The sequence below is a fragment of the Homo sapiens genome, chromosome 11 (assembly GCF_000001405.40).
Source record: "Homo sapiens chromosome 11, GRCh38.p14 Primary Assembly".
Taxonomy (NCBI): Eukaryota; Metazoa; Chordata; class Mammalia; order Primates; family Hominidae; genus Homo; species Homo sapiens.
In genome coordinates this window covers 46,010,365-46,034,797 of record NC_000011.10, presented here as the reverse complement: position 1 = coordinate 46,034,797, position 24,433 = coordinate 46,010,365, and the positions used below count along the sequence as shown (strand labels likewise).

The window sequence follows — 24,433 nt, the reverse complement described above, 5'->3', positions numbered from 1 at the left end:
GAAACTGGGTCATGTAAGACTTCTTACACATATGACATGTTGGTTTCTGCAGGTGCGTGTGTCTCAGTGTGTGGATTTGGGGAAGGATGAACGTGAAAAGAAAGCCTCCCCAGGAAAGGAGGCGAGTAGCACAGCCATAGATAGCCACTGGGAGACCTGTCATGAGCTGGATAGTCACCGTAATTTTTGTCTGCTGTTATCTCTGTTTTACATCATACTAAAAAACAAATTTAAAGTGGATTAGAGATTTAATATATAACATTATAAAAATACTAAAAGAAAACAGTTTTTTTGTTCTTTTTATCTTGGAGTGTGGAAGACCTTCCTTAGTATGATAAGAAGACCAGAAACCATACAGGAAAGGACCTAATAACATAAGAGGATAAAAGAAAGAAGAGAAACCTTATTTAAGGCAAAGGCAGTAAAAGCAAAATTGCAAAAACAGCAATAAAAAATTCAAGACAGATATTTTTAACACATGTGTGACAAAGGGTTATTAGTCTTACATATAAAGAGTTCTTATGAATCTCTAAGAAAAGTATGAGCCTCCCAAGGGAAAAGTATGCAAGGGGGGGGTGGGGGCACTAATATTAAGGCAACTCACAGCAGAAGTAAAAATACTAGTATATGTTACAGAATAGGAAGCATCAGTGGACAGTAAATATGTGAAAGATGATTAGTTTTATTAGTAATGAGGAAAATGAGATTTAAAACCACAGTGAGATATCATTTTACTTCTGACAGATTGGCAAAAATTAAAATATCCAACAACAATCATTGGCAAGGATAAGCAGCAAGAAACCTTATACACTGCTGAATGGAATATAAAATTGTTCAACAACTTTGGAAAACAATTTTTGATTTTCTAGCAAATTTGAAGATGTGTATACTTTATGACCCACCAGTTCTCCTCCTAGATATATACTCTAGAGCAGCACTGTCCAATAGAAATAGAACAGAAAACACATATGTAATTAAAAGATTTCTAGCAGCCACCTACAAAAAAGTAAACAGAGTTGAAATCAATTTTAAGTCTTTGAAATCCGGTGTTTATATTTTACACTTGCAGCACATCTCAGCTTGAGGTAGCCATATTTTAAGTGCTCAATAGCCATATATGGCTAGTGGATAGATAGCATATTGGACAATGCAGCTTTAAAGACACTCTTACAGACATACAGAAGGACTTGCATGAGAATATTTGTAGCAGCCTTGTTAATAATAACAGAAAATGGGCTAAGCATGGTGGCTCACACCTGTAATCCCAACACTTTGGGAGGCTGAGGCCGGTGGATTGCTTGAGCCCAGGAGTTCAAGACCAGCCTAGGCAACATGGCGAAACCCATCTCTACCAAAAATACAAAAATTAGCCAGATGTGGTGGTGCACACCTGTGGTCCCAGCTGTTTGGGAGGCTGAGGTGGAAGGATCCCTCGAGCCTAGGAGGCAGAGGCTGCAGTGAGCCATGATTGCACCACTGCACTCCAATCTAGGCAACAGAGTAAGACTGTGCCTCAACAACAACAATAATACTAACAACAACAGAAAATGGAATCAGTCCAAATATCCTGTGATAGGATAAGTAAATTATGGGACACTCCTATGGTGGAATACCATACTATAGTTTTTAAAAAATGAATGAACTGCAGGTATATGTATCAACATGGAGAATTTCATGAGACTTGGGAAAAAATACAAGTCACAGGATACATAAAAACTAATAAAACATTATATATGGATAATTATATAAGTGGTAAAGTTAGAAGAAATTCAGAATAGTAACTACCTTTTGGGCAGAAGGAGAGGGATGCAATTAGAGAGAGGCTCTTAGGGATTCAGAGGTACCAAAACTAGCCTGTTTATTAGAGATTATATGTACATGTATGTATACATACTTATACATTCATATGTACATTCACACATGTACTTATACTCTTGTATGAATCATTAAACATATTAAAATCATTAATGGCCAATAAATATGAAGCGATGCTCAGTTTCATTAATAGGAATTATAAATTAGAACAATAATGAAATTTTTTCACTCATGAAACTGATAAATTTTAAGGGTATCAAGTCTGTGTACTTGTAAGAGATAGACAAACAGGCAGTCCTTACTCTATTGATGAAAGTATATATAGCCTTTTCAGACAACAGTTTTGGAATAGGAATCTACATTTTAAATTAGGCTACCCTTTAACCCAGCAGCATGATTTCTAAGAATTTATTCTCAGGAAGGATTCAGATAAGTGAATAAAGATACATTTATAAGGATGTTCATTACAGTTTTTTTAAATAATAGTGGAGAATTGAAAAAAACATTTGGTGTATTTGTGAGTGCACTTGTTAAGAAAAGGAAGTAGATGATACTGATTTTCACATGGAAATGTATTCGTGACATATTATTAAATAAACGAAGGACATGGTAGCACACTATGCAGTGTATGATCCCAGATTGTTATATAAAATCAGAAAAATATTAGAAAGAAATAACGGAGCTTATTTCTGGGGTTGAGAGGGATTACATGATATTTTAATTTCTTGAAAAAAATTAAATGAAATTATATTACATTTATAAATAGGAAAATATAATGATATTTTCGCTTTTTGTGAGATTAGCATCATTTTGTGTAGCAGGGTGATCCTAACTAAGGACACAGGACATTGCTCTAGGCTATCTAAATCAAACTCTGGTGTGTCTCCTTTTGAGAAATTTGTAGGGATTCAAACAGTTTTCTTTTTAAAGCAGCACTTAAGAGTTGGGCTTTGACTGTGTTTTAAATTATCAGCTAATAAAGCTGTGGTTTTCATGTTAGTGTGGAAGAGAACAAAAAGATGTGCATTGGGGAAAATTGGGTAACTGTGTGGCCCAATCCAATCCAGTTCCTTGTACCTGATAATGCTTCTGCTAACTTTAATCAAGCATTTATGTCTCACCCCATTTCCATAGTCTCTTGAGTGAATGTCACCCCTGAGTACTTACAGATTCTTCCAGCTTTTGCGTATAGTGTTAGTAACGTCTCTGGAAAAAAATTATTGCATTCTTTTCCAGACACTATTAGACCTAACAGACAAAGCCAGAGGAAAAAAGAGTCTCAGCCAAACCTTTTTGATTTGACCTGCCTCGGAGCGCCTATTAATCTAAAGAGAAAAGAATCCACTAACTAAACAATGTAAATTACATAACTGCCTAATTATGCATGTTTATTATCAACTTTTAAGAAAAAGAATGAATTCGTACCGGCTGCATGAACTACTAGGTTAAATCCTGCCAGACCCTCACCTCATGGGTCCTGTGTACTATCTTTGGGTTCCTGTTGCCAGGCTCCAGCTCCCATTACCTTCCCTTCCTACTCTGGGCCCCTCCAACAGTAATAGTCTGTGATTCTTTGTTGTTGTTTATCCAAGGAAGTGACATAATCAATCTGAGCTACATTTTCTTGCTATTAATCTGGCAGTGCTATATGGAAAGGAAGAAATGGGGTGTGGGAGTATAGTTAGAATTATATTATTGTGGCTTAAGGCTAAGGAAACAATTTCTGACACTGGTAAGGGACAAAAGGTATGGAAAGAGGTTGGAAGGGACATTATTGCAGAACAATCAACAAGATTAGGCATTATTGGGAACTGGGCCACAAGGTAGAGGAAGAAAGAATGATAAGTGACTCTGAGGCTTTGAGCTTGGGTGGCTAAAAATGTATAGCACTGGAACACAGCTTTTACTACGTGATCGCTTGTCGTACATGAATTTCCTGTAAAAGTTCACTCACTGGTGTAGGCTCTAGCTCCTTATGGCTCTGCATTATTTGCATTTTAGGACATTTATTTATTTGTGAGCAAATATTGATAGATGCTACTGTTTTAAAATCAGCAATTTCTCTGGTCAGTCTCCTCCACTTCCCCCAAAAAGTAGAAATTGCTACTGGAAACACACACACACACACACACACACACACACACACACACACGCACACACACGCACACACACACACTATGTGGTTTAGAAGAAATGATCGTCACCTTCTTAAAGTTACAAATTAAAAAAAAACTGAAGTAAATATAGTTGAATGGGAACATAAAATATTTGAATGCAAATGTGAGATTTAGTGAAAATTGGTTTTATTATGTTTATGATGCAGTTGTTTAAAAGATACAAATATGTGTTTTAGGATTAAAGAATCTTTTTGAATTTTGTGTTCAAGGTGATATAAAAGTTAAATTTTAGTAACATTCAGAGAACAGACTAATGAAAAGTAGCTTATTTATACACTTGAGACTGAAAAAGAATACTTTCCTTGTTGTCTCTTTTTGGATCTTTTTAAAATGCTGGTATTGAAATCTGATATTAGCCCCCATTGGTTCAAAGAATAATCTCTTGATCATAATATTAGAAGACAAATGATGAAAACCTGGGCAAATCATTTGGTAAGAATAAAAGATCGTGCAGGATCGTCTTGTTATGAAAGAAGCATTCTTGATTGGAGCAAGAGAACTTATGGAGAGAAAAAATAATTTTATATTGTCTTGACACCCTTTTAAAGAAATCAGAATAGAAACTAAAAATGTACCTTGGTCTTATTCTCTGGATAAGCTCTTTTCAGAGGCTGGGATTCTAAACCTGCAGTAGCTTTTAATGTATTAGCAAGATATTCTCCAGATAGAGTCAGCAGTTTGCTCTATTGTTTAGCGTTGATTCTTTGTCCAAAGACCGTAATGAATAACAACCTACTGTATTAGTTGTATATATCAGGGCTCTCTTCTTGTACAGAGCGTAATACACTTAGTTTTGAAAATAAATTTGAGTGAGGAGGATATTTATCAAATCAAGTTATAAAGACTATCCAAATTATGTCTTCAATTTTAAAACACTTTTGTAAGTATTAAAGTATTTTACCTACCAATTAGGGATTCACATTCTTATCTTCTTCTATGCCTTTGTTATTATTTTTACTGTATAACTGCAGGTGGAGTAAAGTTGAAATACTTTTAACTAAAAGCACTCTAACGGACATTTGTTATTTTTAAGCTAGGTGCACTATTGGAAATGACATGAAATTTATTGCTAGGTTTTTAGGTTGTACATATTTAAGGAAATATAGTTTATGAAGACAGTTTTTTTTTTTTTTTTTGAGACGGAGGCTCTAGTGCAGTGGCACGATCTTGGCTCACCGCAACCTTTGCCTTCTGGGTTCAAGTGATTCTCCTGCCTCAGCTTCCCAAGTAGCTGGGATTACAGACATGCGCTACCACGCCCAGCTAATTTTTGTATTTTTAGTAGAGACAGGGTTTCACCATGTTGCCCAGGCTGGTCTTGAACTCCTGATCTCAAGTGATCTGCCCGCCTTGGCCTCCCCGTGTATTAGGATTACAGGCGTGAGCCACTGCGCCCAGCCAGTGAAGAATTTTTTAATCCTTAAACTCAAAGGGAATATAGAATAAAAACAAGTCTGTTTTCAGAACAGTTATTTAGCTGGGCCTCTAGAAAAAAATAAAATATTGTTTTGGGAACCTATTATGTGAGGAAAAATTCAACAAGTATTTGTTAGACTTTGTGAAAGTCAGTATCAAGTAGAATTAATCAGTGAAAGAGCATTTCCACAACATTAAATGCAAAAAAATTGACCAAAGATTATGAGACAAGAAGTTATCGTTGACTTCTTGAGTTAAGCCCTTAATTTCCACAAGGTTTAGCTTATCATGACAGATAACACTCTTTTGCAAGCTACATTTTGTTTTGAAAAGGTAATGGTCAGATTAATAAACCATGATTGCATCAATATTAGACTTGTGGTACAATTTGTAGATCCAATAGAAATGAAAGAGGATCTAACAGTCTGTAGTCAACTTGTGTTCATATAGTCCTTTGGGGCATAGTAATACACATTGAAGCAAATAAAAAATTAGAAATGCCTTAAAAGGCAAGCCTTTGCTGGGCGTGGTGGCTCACGCCTGTAATCCCAGCACTTTGGGAGGCCGAGGCGAGTGGACGATGAGGTCAGGAGTTCGAAACTAGCCTGACCAACATGGTGAAACCCCATCTCTACTAAAAATACAGAAATTAGCTGGGCGTGGTGGCGGGCGCCTGTAATCCCAGCTACTCAGGAGGCTGAGGCAGGAGAATCACTTCAACTTGGGAGGCGGAGGTTGCAGTGAGCCGAGATCATGCCACTGCACTCCAGCCTGGGCGACAGAACGAGACTCTGTCTCAAAAAAAAAAAAAAAAAAAAGGCAAGCTTTTAAAGTATAAAGTAATATTTTAGCATGTAAACTTAAAAGTGAGAATTACAACAGAATCAGGAAGTCTTAGAGTTTCAGGAGGGAAAAACTTTTTTTCCTCAAAATGCAGTAGATTGTATAATTATTATTCTAATTATGAAAGTAATATGTTTGATCATAAAACCTTCAGCCAGTTCAGCAAAGTGAGAATTGCCTGTAAGCTTAACACTCAACTATTAACATTTTGATGTATAGTATTATTATTTTTATAGAAATTAATATGAGATTGTTTCAAAAGAACCATGACTTTAAAAGTTCAGGGACAGTCCTGAGTACATGTACTTGAAAATTGAAATAATTTTGCATCCTGACACCAAACTCTTTGGAATGTTGAAATTTTTGGGATAGGAATACAAATGCAGTTTTTGCACAACTTTTTCAATTCTTTTTTTGTTGTATCCCCTCAAGCCCATCCTTCAAAAAAAAAAAAATTGTCCCCAGAGATTTCCAACTCAAGAATTTAGAGAATCAGCTACTAGCCTATTAAATTTCAACTGTAGCAAATGTTACCCTGTTTGTATTATTAGGCTGTAGTGAAATGAATTCCTTACTGACAAATAAAATGGTAGGTGCTGGCTGCTTCCCTTTGGCATGAGATAGGCTATGTCATGGATAGGGACTGACAGTTCTGAGATGTTCAAATAAGAATTTTCTATGTACTTACTACAAATAAAGTAAAATATTGGCTTAAGTATTTTTCCAGTGTGAATTATATGCTGAAAACAGGATAAAAAGAAGATATAAATCATTGTTTAACAGGTATCCCCTGAATACTGATTCCTGGGACAGTAGCTTTTCCATATGGGAACAATAGGCGTCTTCTCATAGCTCTGTGTGTTAGTCTTCATGTGATGGAAGGTGAATAAGGAGAATGTCTTTAGCACTTGGGTATTTTAAAGATCTTAAGCAGTGCATTTCGTTGATTGGCTTGCTTCATTCTTGAAAGAGTTGTGTGCATTAAAGACTGAATCAAATTGCATTGTATTTTGTGTGTTTCCTGTGCAGGCATCTGCATTCAGGTGTAGGTAGTACTGTTTTCCCATCCCAGAAAGGGCAGGGTGCTCAGTTGCCTTTATAAAGGCAATTTCTTGGTTGACTGCGATTGAGTGCAGAATTATAATACTGAGGACTTAATTTATAACAGAAAAATGCAGGAGTGCAAACCTGTTAAACCCCTTATACATGTATAAATAAGGTAAACGATGGCAGATTAGCATGGAATATTGTTTGATGTGAATAATCTTAAAAACAAATTTCCTTGGCCTGTTCATGTTGTACCTGTTAGCACGGAGAAAACTTGTAGAAATCAGTGCATCATCTTTGAAATATAATAAAATCAGGGAGAAAAAGCAGAGTGATGTGAGACAGCTGCTGCTTGGATTGGCAGCCTATTTATAATCTGGGAGGCTCGTTGCTAGATTGCTGTGCTGTGTGCTATGCTCTCACACATCAGATAGGAATGATGATTTGCGTGCATGTGTGCGTGTGTGTTCCTGCTCTCAGACTTTTAATTTTTCAGAAAAGGATTCCTTTTCCTACATAAAAATGGAGAATGCTAGCAAAAGCAGATTTTCTGTGTTCCAAACACTCAACAGTCTCTCCAGTGGACCTCTGGGCATTTTTCAATGCTGGGAGAAGACCTTTGGTGGGCCAGGCATTTAAAGATGTAAGGCCTTCTCAGCATTCTTCGTGATGCTGGCTCTGCTGAGTGGGTGAGTCATGTGGGACAGAATGTCGCATTTCAGTACCTTTTGGCTATCTGTGCACGTTAGACAATAACGATTGCCAAGCCAACGTGTCTCAGGTTTTTTAATTACGGATTTAAAAGCCCACAGGAGCTCTGCTCATATGTTAATTCCACTGCTTGACTTTAAAGGATTTTTTTTTTGCATTTTCTAATTCAGATTATAAAAGACAGTCAGCCATTCAATATGGAAACAGTTTACCACATAAACTTGTTTGAGGGGCGAACAGGGTAGAGAAGAGGTAGCTAAAGCTTTCCACAAGAGAAAAAGTCTCAATGCTCTCCCTTAGGTTTATTTTAAAGGGCCAAAAAGAGGTATATTAATAAAAATAACCTTGACACCTGTTTATGCAAAGGATCATGAAGCATTGGAATGATATTCTAAGTCCTATTCATTGTCAGCTTTCATGTACCTTGTGCATGACATCTACATCATGGATTGTCTGCACCTCAATATTCCACCTCAGGCAGTTTCCCCCTAAGGCACATTTTACTACAAAACATATCCCATGCCACTGAGCTGGGGTGGAATTTTAATTTTAAAACTTAGTCAAAACATAATTTTATAGATATATCTATCCCCAAAGGACTGAAAATTTTAAAGCCAAATATAACGAAGTTTTGGATATTTTGGTATTTTGGTTTAACCTTAGCCCAGGTCTCTCGCCTAAGTACGAATAGTCAGAAAGCCAACTTCCTCTGATACCAGGATATATTTAGATAACTTGGCATGATCTGAGACTCTCTTTTACTTAAAGGACATTCTTGGGACATTGTCAAAATCTGCATAAAGTCTGGAGATAATAGTATTGTATCAGTGTTGATTTTCTGATTTTTCCCCTCAACATTTTATTTTGAAATGTCTTCGCCTACAATAAAAGTTGAAAACACTTTAATTTACAATGGGCTATGAGCAGTCACAGCCCATCACCTATACTTGCTCCATCACATATCTGCCGATGACTCTGTCTTATGAAAAGCCATATTATGCCTATGACTTGCAAATAATTCCAGAGAAAAATTATGTGTTTGTGGAGAGAGCAAGAGAGGAGAATAAAAAAAATGTGGTAAAGATAACATTTTTGGGGAATTTGGGTGAAAGGTATATAGGAATTTTCTGTGCCATTACAACTTTTCTGTAACCCTGAAATTGTGTCAAAGTGAAAATTTTTTAAATGAGATTATAAGAGCATAATCAAATTGGAATTTTCTTAGGATACCAGAGAATCATTTTCTTCTCAGGTAAAGGAATTTTTCTTTTGTAGTCCAGAGCTATACATGATTAAGAAAATGTTCAGACCAGGAAGATGACATCTCTGCTAACCTAATCGATTATCATGGAAGGTCTAGAATTGGTGCTAAAGCAGGAAGAAAGGGGATATCTACTTCATCAGAAAGTATTTGAATTTGACCTAAAAACCAACTAAAATGTTCACTTTCCTATTGGTCATATTGTGTGAAAGGGACATAGTAAGTTTGAGAAAAGAAGAAATTCAGTGGGGATAAGACAGAAGAAGACTCCACCTCTTTGTATCTGTGGTATGAAATCATACTCTGTTGGGAGATGGAGAAAAGTTGTTTTTTTTTTTTAATCTGTATACATATGCCCCAGAGAAAATTATTTTCTTTCAACATATTCCTGTCACTGTTATCTCTTTCAGAGAAAGCTCCTTGTGGATAGGCAGTGTGTGTTTATTTTCATAAAGTTTCTAGAACACCATTACTCAGCTGGCTAATAGTGTTAATGACAAGATTAAGAAGCGAGGTGGAACAGCATAGCATAATGCTGATCTTGAGTAGCTTCCTGTGAGAAATTATTTATTGGAAGGGATGTTCAATAATAAGGGATGATGGCTTTATAGACTAGTCTAGAACTAGGAGTCACTATGGTATAGAAAAGGGAAATTAAGGGATCATCAGGATGGCAGGTTTATTCTTAAAGAAGTCCCTAAGTCTTTCTTTCTTTCTTTCTTTTTTTTGAGATGGAGTCTCACTTGGTCACCCAGGCTGGAGTGCAGTGGCACAATCTTGGCTCACTGCAACCTTCACCTCCTGGGTTCTAGCTATTCTCCTGCCTCAGCCTCCTGAGTACTGGGATTATAGGCGTGTGCCACCACACCTGGCTAATTTTTTGTATTTTTAGTAGAGATGGGGTTTCACCATTGTGGTCAGGCTGGTCTTGAACTCCTGACCTCAAGTGATCCACCTGCCTCGGCCTCCCAAAGTCCTGGAATTACAGGCATGAGCCACCATGCCAGGCCCAAAAGTCCCTAAGTCTTAATTAAAGTATAGAGGAAAAAATAGAAGAGAATCTAAACTAGGTGGCCACATCAGAGAGAAGCTTAATATTACATAAAAAGCAATTAAAAGCATTGTTTTAATGGAAGAAAAGTGATGTTGCTTAATAACAAGCAGAAAGCACTTTCATGGGAGAAAGGAGGCTACAAGAAAAAGAGAAGGACAGAGGAAAGAGATATAGGGAGAGAGGGAGGGAAAGTTTTGATAGCCTAGACATGTAAGTGGGAGAAATAGGAAAGTCAGAGAAGATAATAATTTAATGGAAGGTAGATTTATGCCTGGATCAGGTTGTGATGGGAAGGAGGAGAAAGAAAGAGGACCAGCAACTCAGTTAGCCCAACATATAAAATCATTAAGCTGGGAGATATCCCCAGACACCACCTTGCCCTTTCCTTGCTTTCATAACCAATTGCAACTAATCCAGTATTTCCCAAACTGTGTTCCTTAGAACATCAGTGTTCCCACATGTTACAGGTTGCTACATGCTCTATGCCATTCAGTGATTCTTTTTGTTTGTTTGTTTTCGAGATGGTGTCTTGCCGTGTCGCCCAGGATGGAGTGCAATGGCACGATCTTGGCTCACTGCAACCTCCGCCTCCTGGGTTCAAGCAATTTTCCTGCCTTAGCCTCCTGAGTAGCTGGGATTATAGGCACCCGCCACCACACCTGGCTAATTTTTGTATTTTTAGTAGAAACAGGGTTTCACCATGTTGGCGAGGCTGGTCTCAAACTCCTGACCTCAGGCGATCCGCCCACCTCTGTCTCCAAAAGTGTTGGGATTACAGGCATGAGCCACTGCGCCTGGCCTCCATTCAGTGATTCTTAACACACATTAGCAACTGAGGATAAAGAATCCTTTAGTAAAAATCTATTTAAGTGTGTTTAACTTGGTATTTGGTAAACTTACTAACCTCTTTTTCAGGAACACACCTTTTCATATCTGAGGGGATACCAGTATTCCATATGACACAGTTTAGGAATGCTGACCTAACCCTTTCTAGAAAGAGAGCAGTCTTCTTTCTTAATTTCCTTACCTGGTTTTGGAAATGGGTTTTGGCACTTCCCAAATGGTAGTCTGGTTCCGAAATGTTACCTAAATCCCTTCTGCTCATGACTTCTTACTCTGGGCAAAATAGCTCTGTGCAAGACAGACTCACAAAATGTTCAAAATAGAAGGGGCCTCAGTAATTAGCCATCAGCTGTCTCTCTGCCAGATCCCGGCCTGCCTTATGGAAGGCTAAGAAACCATTGCTTACACTTAAACTGCATCCTTTCATAAGTCCCTGGCTTCTTTCACAGACCAAATAATACAAATTCCTTTAACTTTTCCTCTCTTTTTTTCTAATTGTTTTTGTTCCTTTTCCAGATTGTCCACATATCACTCAAGGTCTGAGACCTTAGCCTAAATATACTATAATAGAAAATAACAAGGCCGGGCGCGGTGGCTCATGCCCATAATCTCAGCGCTTTGGGAGGCCAAGGCAGACAGATCACCTGAGATCAGGAGTTCGAGACCAGCCTGGCCAAGATGGCGAAACCCTATCTCTACTAAAAATACAAAAATTACCCAAGTGTGGTGGTGCACACTTGTAATCCCAGCTACTCAGGAGGTGGAGGTTGCAGTGAGCCAAGATCTCACCACTGCACTCCAGCCTGGGTAATAGACCGAGACTCCGTCTCAAAAAAAAAGAAAGGAAACTAACAGTATATGAGCCGGGCACAGTGGATCATGCCTGTAATCCCTACTGCTTAACTACTTGGGAGGCTGAGGCAGGAGAATCGCTTCAGCCCAGGGGTTAGAGACCAGCCTGGGTAACATAGTGAGACCTTGTCTCTAAAAAAAAATATTAAACTACACTGGCATGGTGGCATGTGCCTGTAGTCCCAGCTGCTTGGGAGACTGAGGCTGGAGGATTGCTTGAGCCCAGGAGTTTGAGGCTGCAGTTAGCCATGATCATGCCACTGCAACCTAGCCTAGGTGACAAAGGGAGACCCTGTCTTTTTGTTTCTTTTTCTTTTTTTTTAAGAGACAGGGTCTCACTTTGTTGCCCAGGCTGGAGTGCAGTGATGGGATCACAGCTCACTGCAGCCTCAATCTCCTGGGCTAAAGTGATCCTCCTACCTCAGCATCCTGAGTAACTGGGACTACAGGTGTGAGCCACCATACCTGGCTAATTTTTAAATTTTTTTGTAGAAATGGGGGTCTTGCTATGTTGCCCACACTGGTCTTGAACTCATGATCTCAAGTGGTCCTCCCACCTTGGCCTCCCAAAGTGCTGGAATTACAGGGATGAGCCACCACAACCAGCTCCTGTCTCTTAAATAAAAAAAGAAAGAAACAAACAGTACATGGTTTTGTTCTATAATAGAAAAATAACCATATGATTAATTTTTAGTTCTTTTATGTCATTCTCTTGTTCCTCTCCTTACAGCATTTGTGTCTCTTTAAAGAAAATATTGCTTAGTTATCTCTGCTTCACTGGAACACTGCACACACACAGATCTTTTCCTTTCCTACTAGTGCAATGCCTGTATTTTCTGTTCCCATGGTGGTTTTTTCCTTTCCAAAATGAATTATTCTGCCCCTCCTCAGGAATTCCTGAAATGTGAATTCAAAGAAGATAAGTGGCCAGGCATGGTGGCTCATGCCTATAATAATCTCAGCACTTTGGGATGCTGAGGTGGAAGGTTTGCTTAAAGCCAGGAGTTCAAGACCAGCCTGGGCAACAAAGTGGGATCTCATCTCTACAAAAAAATAAAATAACATAAAAATTAGCTGGGCATAGTGGTGTGTGCCTATAGTCTCAGAGACTTGAGAGGCTGAGGCAGGAGGATCGCTTGAGCCCAAGAGTTCAAGGCAGTGAGCTATGATCATGCCACTGCACTCCAGACTGGATGACAGGGTGAGACCCTGTCTCTGAACACACACACACATGCACACACACATGCACGCACACACATGTGCAATAAGGGTCTCTTTGATTGCTTTCTGTGGCACCCTTGGTGATGCTTGGGCCCAGGATGAATACTGTTTCTAGATTGACAATACTGATGGAGGTATGGTGTATACTTGTTAATAGTTTAAAATGTGGTGAGGTTATTTTAAAAGTCTGTCTAATGGCCAGGCACAGTGGCTTATCCCTGTAATCCCAGCACTTTGGAAGGCCAAGGCAGGAGGATCGCTTGAGACCACGAGTTCAAGACCAGCCTGGGCAACAGAGTGAGACCCCCATCTCTACAAAAAATAAAAAAAATTAGCCAGGCATAGCGGCTTGCACCTGTAGTTCCAGCTGCTCTGGAAGCTGAGGTGGGAAGATCACTTGAGCTCAGAAGGTCAAGGCTGCAGTGAGCTATGATCCTGCCACTGCACTCCCACCTGAGTGGTAGAGTAAGACCTTGTCTCTCTTTTTTTTTTTTTTAAAGAATCTATCTAATGGTCCCTTCCATATTCAGATACTCCTCAGTGTATGATGGAGTTATGGTCCAATAAACCCATCATACATTGAAACTATCGTAAGTGGAAAATGCACTTTCGACTTAGAATATTTTCAGTTTACAATGGATTTTTCAGATGGAATTATCAGGACATAACCCCATCATAAGTTAATTGAGAAGCTTACTGAATGCATATCGCTTTGGTACCACTGTAAATCAAACTATTGTAAGTTGGGGACTGTCTGTATTTGAAATGCTTAGTTTAAGAATAATGTTTTTCAACCATAACTATCATGGCTTTATAGGACATCAGCATTCAAAACAGGTTGTTTTTGAATTTGGAGTCGGTACAGTTGGTGCAGGCCCCAAAAGATAACTTAAAATATAGAGAACTCTGGGTCATGTTCATATTTGAGAAATTTCATAACTTATAGAGCTAAATAGGACCGAAGAGGATAGTATTTTATATTCTAGATCATCAGATGGTGTTAGACGCAAGGGAAGCAGAAAAGTGAAAGTGGGAGCTAGTTGTATCCAGGGCCTGCTTTAAAAGATACAGCAGTAATCCACAAGCCTGGTAAGCACTTCCATCCGCTGCGTATGTACACGGTGCTTCCCTCCTGCTGCTGCGCAAAGACCCATCGAACAGTGTCAGAGCAGGCGCTCCTGGTTCTTGGTGGCAGTTCTGATGAAAAATTGGTTTGCTGCAGGATACTAGCAGCCACTTCAGGGAATTCTAGTGTTGTCCCCAAACATGTCATAGGATCTTACTCTGCAGATGTGTGAATGAAATGCCATGTCTGAGAATGTCAATAGGGAACAAAAGAAGGCATTAGGAAATGACACCACTGATGCCACAAAGTAGGGATCAAATCCAAGAAAAAGTAATCATATTCCCAGCCTGATTACTTTTGAGTGGTAGAGTTGCCCATTTACTGGTGGTCATTAACCAGGATAAATAAAATGGAGTGGTGAGAAACCTGCCTTCACAATAGTATCTTTGTTTTAGTATCATCATTCAGGTCTCTTCATAATGATGGCTAAAAAAAAAAAGAGTCAAAATGTAGAAAATAGCAAAATGCCCTTAAAAGAACACAATTTGAAATGAGATGACATGATGATTAAGATTATTAGGAACCCTGAAAGTTAAGCATATGGGCTTTCCTGCTTCTTAATGGTTGTGTGGTCCTTTTCTACCTAGGAGATGTAACTCACAGATGTAATATTTCTTACTTGCTTCTGTGTTGCAATGTTGTGTTATCATTTTTAGAGCAGAGCTACTGTTTAACTGTCAAGCAGAAATATAAAAACAAAGGAACCAGTTAAATCTAACCGGAGACTAATACGACTAAATTTCATTGCTAAGATTGGAATGCCGTCTGATTGCTTAAGTTAATATAAAAGTAAAGCATTTGGATCTTGGAAAAATTGGTCACAGGTGAATAGAGTGCAATTTATAGCATCAGAAAGAACATAGTACTCCATAATATCTACTCCAGAACTTGTTCAGGGGTATGGTAGAGTATGTTTAACTAAATTCCTCTGATCCCTGCTTTTAGCCAGCTTTGCCTGGATTGGCCACATCTTAGGGCTGTGTGGACCTGGTTCATTCCCACTTAGTTTATAAAAGCCCATCTTATTTTTTGGCGTGGTGTACATGCTTACCAATGAAAGTTAGCTTCTGGATTAGTTCTCAAGTGAAAAAAATTAAGATGATTCATTTGACATGATACTTAATTTTGATGTGACTTTATTTGGAACTCAGATCCCAAGCTAATCAAAAAGTACCATTAAAAGCGACATTCTTTTCCCCTATCTTCTAGAAAGAATTAAAAAGCAGTTTCTTCTTTTCCTCTTTAGAGAAGATAAAGCGAAAAACCAATAACTGAGAAATTAACAGCCACAAAAGTTTGCAAATGGAGTCTGTGAGTTTCAAAGGCTCCAAATTAAAAAAAAAAAAAAATTAGATTAGGCTTCCAGAATGAGAAAGGCTTATTTTCTTCCCCCTTTCTTTTTCTTGCCTTATTTTGACCAAATGAGTTTGTCTTTAAACACAGTTTTAGCTTCTTACATGATGTGTGTGTTCTTGCTGCTTACGGTATGATACATTGATTTTGTCATAAAAAGTCTTGCATTGGATTGCATTACTCTGAGATGTTATTTTAGAAATTGGTGATGTGCATCTGTGAGAGCGTGTCATGGTATGCAGTAAGCAGTGCCATTAAGTGAGTTATCACCATCTGCTCCTACCTACAGTTATTCTTGGTACAGCATCATCATTTTTTCTACAACTATCAATTGCTATCTCTGTTTTCTTGAATTTAAAAAAAAAAATGTGTTGTCCATATCAGGATTTTGTTCATGTTTACCAAATTATCTTTTGCCAAGTCATGTGACATATGTACCTGTATGGAATCTCTTCCATATGAAATTGAGTCAAATAGGTTAGTGGGATTTAAAAGGCATTTAAATGGACACATAAATTATGCACAGACGGCTATTTCAGGATAGCTGTTTTCTCTGAATTGATGAGAGATGAAGTCTTTAGACAAATTTCTTTCAGTTTTAAGGAGATTCTTTTCTTTTTCCCCTATAGATTTTTCCCAACTGGCCAAATACACCAGAGGCTAAGTGTTAATACTATACTGTACATTCTCCTGAAAATGGTGCTGAGCTTGAGCCCAGACCTTCATGATGCGCAGCTAACAGATCATTGGGCATTCTGGGGAGGTACATTTTGATGCTTTTATAAGAAAGCTTTTGAAGCATAGGACACATTTTTTTTTTTTTTTTTTTGAGACGGAGTCTCGCTCTGTCGCCCAGGCTGGAGTGCAGTGGCGCAATCTCAGCTCACTGCAAGCTCCGCCTCCCGGGTTCACGCCATTCTCCTGCCTCAGCCTCCCAAGTAGCTGGGACTACAGGCGCCCGCCACTACGCCCGGCTAATTTTTTGTATTTTTAGTAGAGACGGGGTTTCACCGTTTTAGCCGGGATGGTCTCGATCTCCTGACCTCGTGATCCGCCCGCCTCGGCCTCCCAAAGTGCTGGGATTACAGGCGTGAGCCACCGCGCCCGGCCTAGGACACATTTTTTAACCCCTACAGCTAGTTAGAGTAATGAATTTAACCAAAATAATAAATTTTCATTTTGTGTTCCAATTGAGATTACAGAGTTGAAAAGGCAAAGTAATAAGAGCAATTTGGGTGGCTATTTACACTGTGCTTTGCTGTTTGATAGCCTTTTCTGTGGAACCTTGGTTTATTTCTAGGGGAAAGATTAGTTTTTCCTATCAGTCTACATATTTATCAAGAACAGTTTTTAGGGACAAAATCATTTGCATTTGATTTATGTAATCTTTGTTAATTTTGTAGAAATTTGGAAGAAAATATTATAGTGAGTAAAGATAATGACTTCTTTTCCAGTTTGGTTTTTTTGAGGAGATGAGGGAGGTGTTTTTTTTTTTTCCCCCTTAAGGGCAAATCCTGAACTGTAACTTATAAATATGGAGCTCTTCCTTGTCAGGAGTTTCAGCTTACAAATAGCTTCCTACCACCACAGGGAGACAGAGTGTTATCAGTCCACACACCCAAAGCAAGAAAAGAACACATCCAACTAGTATTTGCAAAGAGTAGTTTACAGTCTTGTTAGCTTTCAATATACTTTAGTATCTCCTACTTCTTTAGTCGTTCTGAGTGCTAAAAAAACAAATCTGATTTTTTCCTTTGCTAGAACTATGAGAAGATAGCAAATATGCCTGTTAAAAATTAATAGATGTAGGCCGGGCGTGGTGGCTCACGCCTGTAATCCCAGCACTCTGGGAGGCTGAGGCGAGCGGATCACCTGAGGTCGGGAGTTTGAGACCAGACTGACCAATGTGGAGAAACCCCGTCTCTGCTAAAAATACAAAAATTAGCTGGGTGTGGTGGCACATGCCTGTAATCCCAGCAACTCAGGAGGCTGAGGCAGGAGAATCGCTGGAACCTGGGAGGCAGAGGTTTCAGTGAGCCAAAATCACGCCACTGCACTCCAGCCTGGGTGACAGAGTGAGACTCCATCTCAATTAAAAAAAAAAAAATCCAGGTTAAACATTTTTAGTAAGAACACTACCTTGTGACTTCATCACATCAGGGCACATCATGTTGATTTGCCCCAGAATTGCTGATACAAATTTTGATCATTGGTTGAGGTCGTGTCTGTTTAATTTTTAAGTGCTATAGGTCTGCATTCTAGATGATAGAATCATGTAATGATTCAGTTCAGTTTACCAAACATTTCTGAGGGCTGCCAAGCTCCAGGTAGTGGGCTATAAAATCAGCAAGACCTAGTCTCCCCATGTTCTTAAGGTGCTGGCAGTATAGTAGAGGAGAAAAACATAAGCTACAAATTGCAGTGTAAAATAGATTATGTCATGTGCCATTTTAAAGTTGTACACGGGTGCTCTTTGAATATAGAGAAGGGAGATATTAATCCTGAGTAGGGGATTAGGGAAGGGTTTATGTAAGAAATGGTGTTTGATCTAGGTCTTCTAGAATGGGTAAGGTTTGGACAGGTAGGAAAGGTGTTGCATGAGAGAGGGAATAATTTAAGCAAAGGCAAAGGTACAGAGGCAGGAAAAAGCATTTTGAGTTCTGGAAATAGCAGATAATTCAGAGTGGTTGAAGGAATGGATATAATGGGAGGCGAAGTATAGTTGTTAAGGGCCTTAAATGCCTTACCTAAGAGTTTAGGGAGAAGACTCTGGGAAATTTTGAGTCATGAAATGACATGGTGATATCCCTTTTTGAGAAAGATTGTTCTACTAGCAAAAGGATCTACAGTCACACAAAGACATTTAGGTCAACAACAGACCACATATATGATGGTGGTCCCATAAGATTATAGTGGAGCTAAAAATTTTCTGTTGCTTAGTAGCCATCATAACTACTTGGTAGCGTAATACATTACTCATGTTTGTGGTGATGCTGGTGTAAACAAACCTACTGTGCTGCCAGTCATATAAAACTATAGCACATACAATTATGTACAGTACATATTTGATAATAATAAATGACTGTGTTATCAGTTTATGTGTTTACTTTTTATCACTACTTTAAAATATACTCCTTCTGCATAGATAGATAGATAGATAGATAGATAGATAGATAGATAGATGACTGTAAAACAGCAATAGCCTCGGGCAGGTCCTTCAGGAGGTATTTCAGACGAAGGCATTGTTACCATAGAAGATGACAGCTCCATGGATGTTGTTGTCTGTGAAGACCTTCCAGTGGGATAAGGTATAGAGGTAAAAGACAGTAATATTGATGATTGTGACCCTGTGTAGGCCTAGGCTAATGTGTGTGTTTGTGTCTTTGTTTTTAATTAAAATGCTTAAAAAGTTACAAAAAATTTAAATATTTAAAAATAGAAAACTTAAAACATAAGGATAAAAAAAGTATTTTTATACAACTGTACAATGTGTTTTAAGCTGTTATTACAAAGAGTCAAAAAGTTTAAAAATTAAACTTTATAAAGCAAAAAAATTACACTAAGCTAAGGTTAATTTATTATTGAAGAAATAAATTTTTAAAATCTCAAACTATAAGAATCCTAGAAGAAAACCTTGGAAATACTTTTCTGGAAATTGGCCTAGGCAAAGAATTTATGGCTAAGTCCTCAAAAGTAATTGTAACAAAAACAAAAATTGACATTTGGGACCTAATTAAACTAAAGAGCTTCTGCATAGCAAAAGAAACTATCAGAGCAAACAGACAACCTACAGAATGGGAGAAAATATTTGCAGTCTATGTAGCCAACAAAAGATTAATATCCAGAATCTGTAAGGAACTTAAATCAACAACAACAACAAAATAAATAACCCCATTAAAAAGTGGGCAAACAACATGAACAGACACTTTTGAAGGGAGACATACAAGCAGTCAACAAACATGAAAAAATGCTCAACATTGCTAATCATCAAAGAAATGCAAATCAAAAGCACAGTGATACCACTTTACACCAGTCAGAATAACTATTTTTTATTTTTTTATTTTTTTTTATTTTTTTATTTTTATTTTTTTTTTTTTTTGAGACGGAGTCTCGCTCTGTCGCCCAGGCTGGAGTGCAGTGGCGGGATCTCGGCTCACTGCAAGCTCCGCCTCCCGGGTTCACGCCATTCTCCTGCCTCAGCCTCCCGAGTAGCTGGGACTACAGGCGCCCGCCACTACGCCCAGCTAATTTTTTGTATTTTTAGTAGAGACGGGGTTTCACCGTTTTAGCCGGGATGGTCTCGATCTCCTGACCTCGTGATCCGCCCGCCTCGGCCTCCCAAAGTGCTGGGATTACAGGCGTGAGCCACCGCGCCCGGCCCCAGAATAACTATTATTAAAAAGTCAAAAATAACAGATGTTGGAGAGGCTATGGAAAAAAGGGAACACATATACTGTTGGTGGGAATGTAAATTAGTTCAGCCTCGGCCATTTGGAGATTAATGAAAGAATAAAAGTAAAACTACCATTTGACCCAGCAATCCCATTACTGGATATATACCCAAAGGAAAATACCTCAGTCTACCAAAAAGTACACTTGCACTTGTATGTTCATTGCCACACTATTCACAGTAGCAAAGACATGGAATCAACCTAGGTGTCCATCAACAGTGGATTGGATAAAGAAAATGTGGTGCATATACACTGGAATATTACACAGCCATAAAAAAGAACAACATAATATCCTTTGCAGCAACATGGCTGCAGCTGGAGGCCATTATCCTAAGGGAATTAATGCAGAAACAGAAAACTGAATATTATATGTTCTCATTTATAAGTGGGAGTTAAACATTGGGTACACTTGGACATAAAGATGGGAACAGTAAACACTAGGGACTCCACAAGTGAGTAGGGAAGGATGGGAGCAAGGGTTGAAAAACTTCCTGTTGGGTACTATGTTCACCATGTGGGTCACAGGATCAATAGAAGCCCAAACCTCAGCATTATGAAATATGCTGTTATAAGAAACCTGCACATGTACCCCTTGAATCTAAAATAAATAAATATAATTATAATGTTTTTCAAAGAAATTAAAATTAGCGTAGCCTAAGTATACGGTATTATAAAGTCTAGAGTAGTGTATAGTAATGTGTTAGGCTTTCACATTTACTAACCACTCATTCACTGACTCACCCAGTACAACTACCAGTCCTGCAAGCTGGTTTACCGTTTTTCATCTTTCGTAGTGTATTTTTACTGTAGTTTTTCCATTTTTAGATATATTTAGATACACAAATACTTACCATTGTTACCTATGGTATTCAGTACAGTAACCTGCTCCTAGGTTTAGCCCATAAGCAATAGGCTATTACCATATAGCCTAGGTGTGTAGTAGGCTGTACCATCTAAGTTTGTTTAAGTACATTGTATGATGTTCGCACAGCAATGAAATGACCTAAGGATGCATTTCTCAGGACATATCCCTGTTATTAAGCAACACATGACTGTGTCTACTTTAGATGGGGAGAGATCAGTTAGGAAGACATTACACAGTACTCCCCCACTTACCTGCAGTTTCCATTTCTGTGGCTTTAGTTACTCACGGTCAGCTGAGGCCCAAAAATATTACATCACTACTCTTTCGCTTTGGGGCCATTATTAAGTAAAATAAGGGTTACTTGAACACAGCACTGTGATACTGCCACAGTTGATCTGATAACCGAGATAGCTACTAAGTGACCAATGGCAGTCTGGGTAGGAAGGGGTGGGACAGGGAGAGATTTCGTCAGGCTACTCTAAGCGTGCAGTTTAAAACTTATGGATTATTTTTTCTGGAATTTTCTATTCACAGTGCCTATGCCACTCATCTCACATTATTATAGTATATAATATTGTGTTATTATGAGGTGTTGTTAATCTCTTACCCATCAATCCCATTACTGGGTATATACTAATACCCAGTTTAACCGGGTTTAAATAAGTTTAACTTACAGATTAAACTTTATCATAGGTGTGAATATATAGGAAAAAACATAGTATATATAGGGTTCAGTACTATCTGCAGTTTCAAGCATCCACTGGGGGACTTGGAACATACTCCCCAAGGATAAGGGGGACTGATGGTAAATTTTCCCCTATGAGGACTGAAGTACAGCAGCAGGACAGAAGTACAAGACAGTGCAAAGACTAATTAGATGTAAAGAGTTGGGGGGATGTGATGAAGTAAACATGCTTAGAAATCCCAGCATGAGCTCTTAGGGTATCATTAAGATGAGAAACTGCAAGAGAGGGAAGACAATGAGTTTGGCCTTAAGCAGGCCAGATTTGAGTTGTTGGTGGGATATTAAGATAGAATTAGAAATGTGGGTGTAGGGTTGCAGGAGAGGCCAGCACTAGAGATATAGATTTACTTACCTCTACTATGTTCTAGGCACTGTGCTAGGTACTTTATATTGATATATGTTACCTCATTTAATCTTCACAGCCCTTTGAGGTAGCTACTTTTATCTCCATTTAAGAGGTGAATAAACAGAGACTGTCGTGAGTTAACTTGCGTAAGACCAAATAGCTAGTGATGAGGGCCAGAATTCTGTCCAAGGTGTGTGGTCCTTCACTGTTTGTGGAGATAATTGCTTCATTGAGACTGAATGTTGTTATCCAGGGAATGACTATAGGGAGGAAACAAAGAAGGCCTGGACAGAAACTTGAAAAGCATCTGAATATAAAAGGGTCTAAGAAGGAGCTTTCTGGGCCAAGAGAAAGAGAATTAAGCAGATGGTGACAGGAAAGCAGAGAGGCCCAAGAAGAGCATGGTCAGTAATAGTGCAGCTGCACAAAGAGGTCAGGAAAGACAAAGATTTGAATACTTTCTGAGGGAAATGGATAGATGATCACACATGGATGATTAGAAGGTTAGGGTAAAGATGGCATGAACTTCAGGCAGAGCCTTTGGCCTGGTTGAAGGATTCTTTCCGGTAGTAATGAACAGCTCAGGACTAGGGATTATGAAGGTAAAAAGGAAAAGGGGTCTAGTGTGAGGGAGAACATAGTAGAAGTGGTTTATCATGGGTCCCAGGATGGACAGGAAGTAAAGAAGGTGATAGTCATCTGGAAATCTAGATAGAGTGAAGGACCTAGAGTGTGCAGGTTGCTTCTAATTTTTGTGCCTAATGTTTTAAAATTAATGTTACACTAAAGAAGTTTTTGCTCTTTTTGTTTTGTTGTGTTGCATAGAGAGAATAAAAAGAAGGTAAGAGTTAAGAGTGATTTTTTTATCTTTGCAATCAAGCAGTAAATAAAAACTCGTAAAATTCCCCTCTGCCAAGCTCATGGACATCCACTATTTTGCTTTAGGGAACTTTTGTTAGCTAAATACATTGCTTGAAAGAACATCTGTATTCTGCGGGAGTCAGAAAAGAGAAAGGACCTAAACCAAAACTGTTTCTTGAATTTAGAAATGAAAAGCAGTGCTTAGTACCACCAAGTGGGACATGTCTTGAAATCCTAGATTTCCAGAGCGAGAAAGTATCTTAGAAATTGCCAATCTTCTTACTTCAACAATTGGTTCATTGAACACTTTTTTTTTTTTGAGACTGAATCTTGCACTGTCGCTCAGGCTGGAGTGCAGTGGCACCATCTCCGCTCACTGCTGCAACCTCCACCTACTGGGCTCAGGCGATTCTCCTGCCTCAGCCTCCTAAGTACCTGGGATTACAGGCATGCACCACCACACCCAGCTAATTTTTGTATTTTTAGTAGAGACAGGGTTTTACCATGTTGGGCAGATTGGCCTTGAACTCCTGACCTCAGGTGATCTGCCCTCCTCTGCCTCCCAAAGTGCTGGGGTTACAGGTGTGAGCCACCATGCCCAACCTCATTGAACACTTTTATACACCCTACCACTAGCCAGGCTAAAAAGTGAAGTTACAAATTAAAACGGTTAATTCTTTCCCTCAAGGAGTTCACGATCTAGTGGCAAGATCAAAGAGTCCAGTAACTCCTTTAAGAAGTTTTGTGATAAAGGGGAAAGGGAACTATAATTAAGCAGATGCCTGTTTTCTGTTGATCACTTTTTTGAGAGGGGTGTGTGTGTGTGAGAGAGAGAGAGAAAGAGAAAGTTTTTTATACAGAGGAGACTTGATCATGCTTATTTATTATAGTAGGAGAGAAAGGAGCTGGTATGATGCTGTTCACTGCCTGGTTACTTTAATTGCCCCCAACAATTCAGACTTATGAATGAACTGATCATTATTATCCTCAGTCCACTGGGTAGGGGTGTAGAGTTAGTCAGGGAGAGACACAGTGAATTTCCAAGATAAGGGGAAAAGAGAGGCACAGAAATACATATATCTTTTTCCTTGTTCTTCTCTAACTTCTGTGGGTCAAGGCTTTGCACGCTGGCTTAGAAAACCTGTTATTTCTTCCACAGCCAAGATTGTTTTGTTTTGTGATTGTTGACTTGCAGTATTATGAATTACCAAAAGAAGAGAACCCAAAAAGCATACTCCGGTGCCAAATATAATTTAATTTTGAGTTATTCATACCACTATTCCCAAACAATGTCGTAAAGCAGAAAGAAATTCAGGCATTAGAGTCAGGAAACAAAGATTTGGTTTCTGGCTTTGCCACTTAACTGTATAATTTTAGACAAATTACTAAATCTCCTTGAGTTTCATGTTATTCTTCTGTAAAGTATCTTCACAAGATTGTTGCGAG

At 38.6% G+C, this 24,433-nt stretch overlaps 1 protein-coding gene across 55 annotated transcripts in view, besides 1 other annotated feature; it reads left to right on the top strand.

Moving 5' to 3' along the window:
* The window catches only part of PHF21A (PHD finger protein 21A), a 192,136-nt gene that overhangs the window by 86,657 nt on the left and 81,046 nt on the right, over positions 1-24,433 (top strand). The window lies entirely within an intron of this gene.
* Positions 22,125-22,708: an enhancer, noted in NCBI's record as "OCT4-NANOG hESC enhancer chr11:46033641-46034224 (GRCh37/hg19 assembly coordinates)". NCBI's record gives its function as "activates a minimal SCP1, AML or CMV promoter by ChIP-STARR-seq in primed H9 embryonic stem cells {active_cell/tissue: H9 hESC(primed)}" and the evidence as "EXISTENCE:reporter gene assay evidence [ECO:0000049][PMID:30033119]".